At 52.1% G+C, this 11,664-nt stretch overlaps 1 annotated feature.

The window, feature by feature from the left end:
* Positions 266-766: an enhancer, noted in NCBI's record as "H3K4me1 hESC enhancer chr17:6471007-6471507 (GRCh37/hg19 assembly coordinates)". NCBI's record gives its function as "activates a minimal SCP1, AML or CMV promoter by ChIP-STARR-seq in naive H9 embryonic stem cells {active_cell/tissue: H9 hESC(naive)}" and the evidence as "EXISTENCE:reporter gene assay evidence [ECO:0000049][PMID:30033119]".

The raw sequence follows: 11,664 nt of genomic DNA, 5'->3' as shown, positions 1-11,664 counted from the left end.
GGGAGGGCCTTCCTCCGCCGCCAGGTTCCAAGTCCAGGAAGTCCTTCCAGCTATTCTGCTTCCTCATCTGCACAGAGGAAGCCCCCACCAGCTGAGACTCCCTCCCCAGGTGCTCTGAACCTGAAAACAAAGAGCAGTTGTGTGCCCCTCCCTGTCCATCACTTTCCCTACCCGTCACACCTCTCTCCCTCTCTCCCCCTTATAAGCTGCATGACTGAAGGTCAGGGCTTCCCAGGAATACTTACCTTTTTGCCTTTGCCTTCCTGCCTTTAGAAACTGATTTACATAAAACAACCAGAAGGGATTTCTGGAACTGCGTCTTCATTCACCAGTGGCCCTTCTGGGCCAAGATGTTTCTCTGATGGACTGTGTCCTTCAGCCGGTAATTTAATCGGCATCTGCTTGGTGCAACGTCTCCCACTGTGGTTTACCAGGAATGGCTCGAAAAGGGATGTTTCCGTCTTTGTGAAAGGCTGCGATGCCTGGAGTCCCCAGAGTGTCCTTTCACTCGGCGTGTAATCTAGTATATCTTTAATAAGTGGAGTCAATTCACTTTCAAAACCCTTGTAAAATTCAGCCTTTTAGTCATTCTGACCAGAAGCATTCAAATTGCAATATGAATAGATAGCCCCAGCAGCCCCGGGAGATCTGCCTGGGATACTAGGTTGGCAGCCACAGAGGAGGGAGGCATTGATAGCCTCGGGAGGCCCTGCCCAGGCAAAGGCAGCTGCCTCTGGGCCCTGGAGAATCCTGCCAACTCAGCTCCTCCCTCACCCCCTCTACTTGTCAGGGCACCTCGCACAGGGATTAGGAAAACCATAGGATCGCAGCCAAGCCCCAAAGGCTCAGGGACACCGGTGAGTCTAGCAGGCTCACTGTATAGACAAGGAGGGGCTTGCTTTGGTGAATTGCGTGAGGTTGCACCAGCACTTAGTGGCAGAACCTCAGCCTCTTGGTTTTCTGTGTCTGGTTTTTGTCTTATTTTTTCCTGTCTTCTTCTTCTCTTGTGGCGAAGGCAGGAGTGTGGACATTAGAGGGACTGGGTTTGAATACCTGCTCTACCACTTATTAGCTGTGTGACCTAAATACTTGCTCTTCCACTTATTAGCTGTGAGGCCTTTCTAAGCCTGTTTCCTTATCTGTAAAATGGGAATGGTTCTAAGAATCCCTCCCTCCTAATGTTGCTATAAGGATTCAAAGAGGAAACACGTGAAAAGCACTTAAAACACTTCCAGGCACATAATAGTCACTCAGCAAATATCTATTCCTGTTGTTCTTCTGGTTGTTATTTTTCTTTTCTTTTCTTTTCTTTTTTTTTTTTTTTGAGACGGAGTCTCGCTCTGTCGACCAGGCTGGAGTGCAGTGGCGTGATCTTGGCTCACTGCGAGCTCCGCCTCCCGGGTTCACACCATTCTCCTGCCTCAGCCTCTGGAGTAGCTGGGACTACAGGCGCCTGCCACCGCGCCCGGCTAATTTTTTTGTATTTTTAATAGAGACGGGGTTTCACCATGTTAGCCAGGATGATCTCGATCTCCTGACCTCATGATCCGCCTGCCTCGCTCTCCCAAAGTGCTGGGATTACAGGTGTGAGCCACCACGCCCGGCCGGTTGTTATTTTTCTTAGCGTGCTGCTGCTGTACAGCAGGAGAGAAGTAGAGGCAACAGGAAGAGCTTCCCAGCTGGTAGAGTTAAAGAACTGGAATGGCCTCCTAATAAGTGAAGGGGTTTCTCCCCTACAAGCTTTAAGCCATCAGAGATCTGAAGGTTTTCACAAAGTCCGGAATCGGGGAGAAGGAGGGAAGAACAGAATGACTCTTTTTTTTTTTTTTTTTTTTTTTTTTGAGACATAGCCTTGATCTGTCACCCAGGCTGGAGTGCAATGGCGCCATCTTGGCTCACTGCAACCTCCGCCTCCGGGGTTCAAGCGATTCTCCTGCCTCAGCCTCCCAAGTAGCTGGGATTACAAGCGCTCGCCACCACGCCCGGCTAATTTTTGTATTTTTAGTAGAGACGGGGTTTCACCATGTTGGCCATGATGGTCTCGATCTCCTGACCTCGTGATCTGCCTGCTTGACCTACCAAAGTGCTGGGATTACAGGCGTGAGCCACCATGCCTCGCCCAAAATGACCTTTTCTTAGAGGCTTGCTCCCCACAACAACTGTCTTAGCTTTTATTCAGCAGCTGCCTGTGCTCCCAGCAGTGTGGGGTCCTCTCTTAGGAGTCAGCAACGGTACACTTTCAGGTCTGGGTCAATGGCACAGATTCCGTCTCTGCAGGGTGGGCTGTAGTAGGAGTTTTCATCATATGAATGTGTGATAGTGGGGTGGAGGTTGGGGGGCACCAACACTTATTTCTGTTGTTGCACAGGATGCCTTTCCATGCCGACAGCTCACACAACCCACTCTTCTCCCCTGCCTTCTGGGAGGGTTGTGGTGGGCACCACTGCACTTAAACTGGAGGAGAGAGATGAAATTTCTTTTTTTTTTTTTTAATTTTTTTTGAGACAGAGTCTCGCTCTGTTGCCTAGGCTGGAGTGCAGTGGCGTGATCTCAGCTCACTGCAACCTCTCCCTCCCGGGTTCAAGTGATTCTCCTGCCTCAGCCTCCTGAGTAGCTGGGATTACAGGCGCCCACCACCATGCCCAGCTAATTTTTGTATTTTTAGTCACCATGTTGGGCAGGCTGGTCTTGAACTCCTGACCTTAGGTGTTTTGCCCATCTCAGCCTCCCAAAGTGCTGGGATTACAGGCGTGAGCTACTGCACCCGGCCGAGAGATGAAATTTCTATCCCAGGGCAGAGGTTCCTGCTCAGTGAGACTGCAGCCACCCTGCTGGCTCTGCAGGAGACTCTGAGGAGAGGCAGTGGGCCCTGGAGTGTTCTGGCCAGGGGAGCCCTAGGTAGATTGCAAGACACTTGCTTTTTTTTTTTTTTTTTTTTTTTTTTTGGAGGAGTTTTACTCTTGTCGCCCAGGCTGGAGTGCAATGGTGCAGTCTTGGTTCACTGCAACCTCTGCCTCCTGGGTTCAAGCAATTCTCCTGCCTCAACCTCCTCAGTAGCTTGGATTACAGGTGCCTACCATCCATGCCCTGCTAATTTTTTTAATTTTTTTTTTTATTGTTAGTAGAGGTGGAGTTTCACCATGTTGGCTAGGCTGGTCTTGAACTCCTGACCTCAGGTGATTCGCCCGCTGCCTCAGCCTCCCAGAGTGCTGGGATTACAGGCACGAGCCACCATGCTCGGCCTCAAGACTCTTGGTTTCTAAAACTAGTGCTCACTTTTCCTGCTCTGGGCTTGGGGTTTACCATCCTTCAAATGAAGGGACCAGCAGAACAGCCTCTCGAGAGGGCAGTTTGGCGATGAGTTATTTAGGGAGGCGGAATGTGGAATTCCCTATGGCCCGACAATTCCAACGCTGTGTGAGAGCCCCAGAGAGGTTCTCACATGGGAACACAAGAAGTGCACGGGCTGTTTGCTGCAGCACCGTTTGTAACAGCGAGGAACTATGAGACCTAATTGGTCCTTTAGAGGAGATTAGAAAAATAAAATGAGGTATATCACACAACCAAATAGTATGCAGCAGTCAAAAGGAACAAGCCAAATCTACAAATACTAATGTGGATTCATCTCAAAAAACAATACTAAAGGGGAAAGTAAGAAGCAGAATATGCTGTCCCCATGGTGACATTCCGTAATGTTTGAAATACATACATACGAGTATGTAACACTCATGCATACATACAGATGGGGAAAAGCTTTAGAAAGCAGATTGGGAGGCCAGGTGTGGTGGCTCACGCCTGTAATCCCAAAACTGTGGGAGGCCAAGGCGGGCAGATCACCTGAGGTCAGGAGTTCGAGACCGGCCTGGTCAACATGGTGAAACACATCTCTACTAAAAATAGAAAAATTAGCTGGGCGTGGTGGCCAGCGCCTATAATCCCAGGTACTCGGGAGGCTGAAGCAGGAGAATCACTTGAACCTGGGAGGCGGAGGTTACAGTGAGCCGAGATCTCGCTACTGTACTCCAGAATGAGACTCCATCTCAAAAAAAAAAAAAGAAAAGAAAGAAAAGAAAAAAAATGAAAGTAGTTTGGGAAATGTGCAAATTCAAAGTAGACCCCTGGAGGAGAGGAATAGAATGGGGTTTGGGGACTAATGATAGACTGTGCCCAGACTGGGGGGAGATGCCATGTGGGGTAGCACTGTACCACCAGTCCTATGATAGCCTACCATGTGCACCTTAGGTTAAAACAAAGTCAAGATGGTTTGGATCCAGGTGATCCCACGGGATCTTCTGACACTGCCATGTTGGTTTCTCTGGGACCTGGATAGCACAGCCACAGCTGGAACCAAAACAATGGGCTCCAGAGTGAGGACCTCGGAGAGTAGCAGAGCCTGAAAGGAAACCTGTAGCCAAGGCAAAGGTGCAAGCACCATAAGACGTGGAGATAGTAAACCAGATGCAGAGAAAGTCACCATCTATTTTTTTTTTTTTTTTTTGAGACAGAGTCTCGCTCTGTCGCCCAGGCTGGAGTGCAGTGGCACGATCTTGGCTCACTGCAACCTCCGCCTCCCAGGTTCAAGCGATTCTCCTGCCTCAGCCTCCCAAGTAGCTGGGACTACAGGCACCCGCCACCACACCCAGCTAATTTTTGTATTTTTAGTAGAGGCGGGGTTTCACCATGTTGGCCAGGCTGGTCTCGAGCTCCTGACCTCGTGATCCGCCCACCTCGGCCTCCCAAAGTTCTGGGATTACAGGCGTGAGCCACAGTGCCCGGCCACCTTCTATTAAAATCATCATTTTACATGATCTGATTGTGATTTTCTGCCCTTGTCCAACACTGTTTTGTTAGTAATCAGGCAGCTTTCCCCCCTTGATCTGTCTGCCTTATCATCTACCACTGTATTTGATTTTCTGAGTTTTGGGATCTGTCAGGAACAAACAATATTGTGTGTGAGGCTGGGGCAGGGGAGGGACACGGCTGAGGTCAGAGCCTCTGGATTTGCTTGTTCCTCGGCACCCAGTGCTGATGGGAATTTGCAGGAATGCAGACACAAAGAGCCCATCCTGCAGAGAGTTTTAGATTTTCACCCAGTTTCTAATTTTAATTTGGTCTAAGTGTAACTTCAAGACAACTGGGCTTGCTTGGGGCCAATCTCAAGTCTTGACAGCAAACAAGCGCAAAACGCAGGTCCAACTGCCAAAGCTTTGTGAGCGAGATAAATTGTTGCTGACATTTTCGGGGGCAGATAGGAGGGCTCCACAGCAGAACCTATTGGGCAGCCTGATTAAGCTCTTTCCTCATAATTCCTCTCCTTACGGCAGCTGCTAGATTTCTCCTTGCCTCTACCCAACCACCCCTCAGCCTCTCCAGATCCCCTCTCCAAAATCCCATCTACCAGCACACCCCATTCAATAAGGCTAAAGCAAGCTAAACAGCAACTGAGAAAACGCAATCCAGGCTTGGGCCTCAACTTATTTCAGCATCTCAAATAAAAAGCTGGGCCAGGCGTGGTGGCTCACGCCTGTAATCCCAACACTTTGGGAGGCTGAGGCGGGTAGATCACTTGAGGTCAGGAGTTCGAGACCAGCCTGGCCAACATGGTGAAACCCCATCTCTACTAAAAATACAAAAATTAGCTGGGTATGGTGGCTTGTGCCTGTAATCTCAGCTACTCAGGAGGCTGAGGCCGGAGAATTGCTTGAACCTGAGAGGCGGAGGTTGCAGTGAGCTGAGATGGGGCCACTGTACTCCAGCCTGGGTGACAGAGCGAGACTCTGTCTCAAATTAAAAAATAAAAAATAAATAAATAAATAATCTGATGAGGTCCAGTTCAACAGATTCTGCAGATGTCTCCAGACATGTTTTGAAAACACAGCGGAAACACGCACATGTATGTTTTCTAGATTTTGCCGCCCACTGTGGTGAGAATAAAGGGGGAATGCAGTCTCATGTAAAGACAGAACATTTTGCTTGGTCTGCTCCGTGGGGGGTCTGTCTTGGGTAGGGGGGTCCTTACACATGGGGGTCTGGGGCTCACCTAAAAGGTCACGTGTTAACCTTAAGGGAATCTTCCTGCCCCTGCAGGAAATCACACATAAGACGGTGGTGGCCAGTGCCTTCTTTACAGCATCTGCCTTGAGGGTGAAGCCACAGCTGTCAACGTAACTGCTGAGAATGGACTCACCAGAGGGGATTAAGACAGGCAGGTCCTAGCCCTTCTTGGGGTCGAAGGTAGAAGCACACACTAGATTGGCTGGGCACGGTGGCTCACACCTGTAATCCCAGCATTTTGGGAGGCCGAGGCAGGCAGATCACTTGAGGTCAGGAGTTCAAGACCAACCTGGCCCAACATGGTGAAACCCTGTCTCTACTAAAAATACAAACATTAGCTGGGTGTCTAGTCCCAGCTACTCAAGAGGCTGGGGCAGAAGAATCGCTTGAACCCCAGATGTGGAGGTTGCAGTGAGCTGCGATTGTGCCCCTGCACTCCAGCCTGGGTGACAGAGTGGGACTCCATCTCAAAAAAAAAAAAAAAAAAAAGAGCACACACTAGATAAGCCACAGCCACCAGCAGGGAAAAGGAAAAGGTGGAGGAAGAGGAAGAGGATGGGAAGAGGAGGAGGAAGGGGAAGAGAAGGGGAGGAGGAAGAGGAAGAGGAGGAGGAGGGTAGGAGAAGGAGGAAGAGGAGGAGGGGAGAAAGAAGAGGAGAAGGAGGAAGAGGCAGAAGGGAGGAGGAGGAAGAGGAGGAGGAGGAAGGGGAAGAGGAAGGGAGAGGAGGAAGAGGAGGGGGAGGGGAGGAGGAAGAGGAAGAGGAGGAAGAGGGAAGGAGGAAGAGGAGGGAAGGAGGGAGGGAGAAGGAGGAAGAGGAGGGAAGGAGGATGAGGAGAAGGAGGAAGAGGGGAGGAGGATGAGGAAGAGGAGGAGGGGAGGAGGAGGGGAGAAGGAGGAAGAGGAGGAGGAGGAGGAGGAAGAGGAGGAGGGGAGAAAGAAGAGGAGAAGGAGGAAGAGGAAGGGAGAAGGAGGAGGAAGAGGAGGAGGGGAGAACAAAGAGAAGGAGGAGGAAGAGGAGGAGGAGGAAGAGGGGGAGGAGGAGGAGAAGGAAGAGGAGGAGGAGGGGAGAAAGAAGAGAAGGAGGAAGAGGCAGAAGAAGGGAGAAGGAGGAGGAAGAGGAGGAGGAGGGGAGAAGGAAGAGGAGAAGGAGGAAGGGGAAGAGGAAGGGAGAGGAGGAGGAAGAGGAGGGGGAGGGGAGGAGGAAGAGGAGGGGGAGGGGAGGAGGAAGAGGAGGAAGGGGGGAGGAGGAGGAGAAGGAGGAAGAGGAGGGAAGGAGGGGGGAGAAGGAGAAGGAGGAAGAGGAAGGGAGAAGGAGGAGGAAGAGGAGGAGGAGGGGAGAATGAAGAGGAGAAGGAGGAAGAGGAAGGGAGAAGGAGGAGGAAGAGGAGGAGGAGGGGAGAATGAAGAGAAGGAGGAAGAAGAGGGGAGGAGGAAGAGGAGGAAGAGGGGAGGAGGAGGAAAAGGAGGAAGAGGAGAGAAGGAGGATGAGAAGGAGGAAGAGGAGGGGCGGAGGAGGAGGAAGAGGAGAAGAAAGAGGAGGAGGAAAAGGAGGGGAGGAGGAGGAAGAAGAAGAGGAAGAAGACAAGGAGGAGGAAGAGGAGGAGAAGGAGGAGAATGAGAAAGGAGGAGGAAGAGGAGGAGAAGGAGGACAATGAGAAGGAGGAGGAGAAGGAGGAGGAGGAAGAGGAGGAGAAGAGAGAGAATGAGAAGGAGGATAATGAGAGGAGGAGGAAGAGGAGGAGGGGAGGAGGAGGAGGAGGAGGACTACGAGGAAGAGGAGAAGGAGGAGGAAGAGGAGAAGGAGAAGGAAGAGAATGAGGAGGAGGAAGAGGAGGAGGAGGAAGAGGAGGAGGAAGAGGAGGAGAAGGAAGAGGAGGAGGAGGACGAGGAGAAGAGTAGTTCTGGATGGAAGGGCATGTTCCACTCAGTGTTCTGGATGCTGGGTGGAATTGGGGGCATCCTGGGGCAAGGAGGAGACGGTGACAAGAAACCAGCTACTCTCAGAACAATTCTGTAAGACTCCAAGGAAGAGCAACTGTGTCTGGGACTACTTTTATGATTAGGGGTGGTTCCCATGGCAGTGGACAGCAACCATGACACTTTAAAGCATAGGAACCAGAAAGGAGGGGGTGAAGAAGGGTACATAGGCTGGGAAATACATCAGGAAGGGGTGCTTCCAGTGGTCCAGGTGAGACATAGTGATGTGATATTGGCCAGGGAGTGAGACTCAAGGACAAAAGGGGCTGTGGAAATTTACAAGTGGGAGTGAACACTCCTAGCTGGATGTTTGTGTTTGGCCTGGGAGGATGGCCCCACTTGCTTGTCCATGTTCATGTCATCCTCTTGGCTTTGGCCCATGGTTCCAGTTTGTCAAGGCCATGGTGATTGGGTTTGGCCCGTGGTCCCAGCTTGTCAAGGCCATGGTGAACAGCCGTGCATCTGTCCAGTCTGCATGAGCAGCGTCCTTCTTACACAGCTTATTCTCTGTTGTGAGCACTTGCGCTGAGATGCTTGACATGGCTCAAGTCCTGGAGGGAGGTGGAGGCTCCCTCCACTGGAGCCCATCAGGGAGTGGACCGGGGTAAGCCACTTGACCAGGCTATCTTCTTGCTCCTGACTCCCTTTGTTGTTTACAAAGTTACTGTCAGAGAGCTGGGCAGCAGCCGTGCCCCAACCCAGGCCCAGAAGGCAAGGCGATGCCCAACTCCACTAGTCGTTATAACCGTGTCCAAATAGGAAATGAGCTTTGCCTGGCATGACTAGCTTTCAGGGGGGCCATGTTGGCTCCTAGGAACTGTCACTTAGCTTTCCAAGTGCTCACACCAGCTGTCCAGGCTGGATAGCCAGGCCTGGGGTCTGCCATGTCGAGGAGTTGTCTTGCAGCCAGCTCCCACTCCTTACCCACCTGGAGCTCTCCAACCTGTCCACATCTCTGCACACGTCCTCCACAGCCATTGACAGGATGGGCCCCTGCTCATTTTTACTGGTTCTCTGGGCTAGATGCTTGCCTGGGCCTGGGAGCAGCTGGCCACTGTGAAGGCAGGAGCAGAACAAGCTGTGGTCAGAGGAAAGGGCCTGGGTGCCAGGTCTCAGAGAAGGGATTTGATCTGGTCTCCTGGCACAGTAACTCTGGTAACTGGGAGAGTTACTGGCACAGTAACTCTGGTAACTGGGAGGCCCCGTAGGCCCTGGCTGGCTCCTGCCTCTCTTTCCTCCGGGCAGCAGAGGTCAGCGTGGCTAAATTGCTAGTTATCCCTTTCTTCAATTAAGGACAATTCTTCTGACGCAGGAAGTTAACTCCCACCAGTTAATCTAATGGCCTTGAGTTTTGATGTGTTTGCTCTGTCAGAAGGCTGGGCTGGAACTTCCTTGGCAGCTGGTAACAGTCAGTGCCTTCAGGGGCTGCCTTAGGGGCGGACAGAGGCTGGGGTGAAGGTTTAAAGAGGGGAACCATGGATCTGGGCCTCTGAGTCGTGGTTTTCAGGGGACAGATCTGGCTTACTGTCTTCCCATCTGAGAAATGGGGTGTGGAGTGGTCTGGAGAGATGAGTTCTGAAACTCCCATCAACTTGGCACCTCCCCTTAACCGCTCCACCCAGGCCCTTCTGGGTGACTAGTTTAGGGTTTGTGAGGACTAAGTGGTGGGAGGGGAAGGGGTCTGGGTGCCCACCCAGGGAGCATCTGTCAGCAGGTGTTTGCCTGTGTTTGTGTGTACGAGTGTGCCTACACACACCCATGCATGCATCCCTAAGCACACACAAGCACACACACATACACCCCATGCACACATACCCAGGCACACACACAAACACAACGTGAAGCTGTGCCCAGAAGCAGGAGGGCCCTTGATGCCCTCTGGTCACTGCTGCTACTGTGAGCCAGGGCTGGGGAGGAGCTCAGGCCCAGGCGTGTCCCCTCTGTGGCAGGCGCATTGCTTCTTCTGCAGCCAGCGTTCTGTCTCCTGCGTGACCACTCACACCTACAGACCAGGTGGCCAAGCCTGGACATTGTCCAGGCTATCAGGCCTCTGAAACACCTCAGGGAAGGGTGAGGCCAGTGAGGCCCAGTAGACAAAGCACAGGGGCCTGAAATTGATCCTCCATGACCACAAGCACCGAACTTTCTTAGCCCCCACTTCGTTATGTGTATGCTGAGGATAACGCAATGTAGCTGAGAGAGTACATGAGGGTAAATACCGCCTGTTCAATCAATAGTCCTTGTTATTCTCATCCCCAGTCCCATTCTCATAGTGGGGAAAGGCTGCAGGGTCCATTCCTGCTCTCCCAGCTGGTGACCAATGGCAGGTGCTGGTGAACAGCGTTGGATTCAGGAGCCCAGAGCTTCTGAAATTCTACATCTGTTGGAGTTGGTGCTGTCATCTGGCTCTGGGATCCAGAGCTCTTGGGACTCATGGGTTTCCTGGGAGGTGAGCTCTGGCAAACGTGGATGGTTGTTCTCCCTGGGTGAATCCATACTAGGGAGTTTGGGTAGAAGGCCTTGGGAAGCCCTGGTTTTGTTGGGTGAGGTGTCGGAAGGCAGAGCAGAACTCATGGATGGGACATGCGGGTTGTAGATTTCAGCTCAAACGAGTAAGAACATTCTTAAGGCCAGCACTAGCCAAAAAAAAAAAAAAAAAATTAATAAAAGGAAGAACTCTCACTTAAGATACTGAGCTTCCTGTCCTTGGAGGTAACCAACCAGGAGCTGGAGGACTGCTTAGCAGGAATCTTGTGAATGGAGTCAAAGCCCCAGAGAAGGCACTGGACTGAGAGCCCCCATCTAACCCCATGTGTGCCCTGTTTCCATAGAGGAGCTTGCAGGACCCTGGAGCCTGGACCATGGATGGAATTCTCCAGTTGACCTTTTCCCTGTTAAGTGGAGTGGGACAGGGTGGGTTGGGTGCCTGGCTCTACAGATGGTAACTGGGCTTCAGCCTTACCAATTCCTGGGGGAGGCAGGGCACCCTCTCAGTGGAGGGTTGTTACCTCTCAGGCACCGCCAAATACAATTGGCCATCTCCTGCTCTCTTTTGGGGCTGGACTGTGGATCCCTGCTGCCCCTAAACAGAAGTCATAACCCATATCTCCCCGGACCACAAGGCCTGTCCACTAGAATCTCTGCATCCCGATTTAGGAAGTGGAAGGCGGGTACTGCTCACCACCAGGCCGCTGGGGTCCACAAAGCCTGCTCCAGCCTAGAACCCCAGGTGGATGTGCAAGTGTTTTACTTATCCCTTGAGGGTTAAAATCACGGGAATCCTTTCTCTTTTGAGGTTAGGTCAGACGCCATAAATGATCCAGAACCCCTGGAGCGGGGGCTGATGGAGGGGGTCCCTCTCTTGTCTCTGATCCCAGAGCGACTTTCCTCTTGACTTCGTGGGGGCCTCCCTTGGATCCCTGTCCTCCTTCCTCTCTCCGCTCCCTCTGTCCGTCTCTCCCGGAGCCGGAGCCGGGCTCTGGGTCTCTGGTCTCCTCTGAATTTCTCTCTCTCTCCCTCCACCTCGGCGTTCTGGCCCTAGGAGCGTCTCTCTCCAGCGCTGTCTAATAGTCTGTGCGCCCCTCTCCCAGTCCAGGGCCCCGTCTCTGGCCCGCAGTGTCTCGGGCTGTCTC

Source organism: Homo sapiens, chromosome 17, assembly GCF_000001405.40.
Source record: "Homo sapiens chromosome 17, GRCh38.p14 Primary Assembly".
Classification (NCBI taxonomy): Eukaryota; Metazoa; Chordata; class Mammalia; order Primates; family Hominidae; genus Homo; species Homo sapiens.
This window is presented reverse-complemented; position numbering and strand designations above follow the sequence as displayed.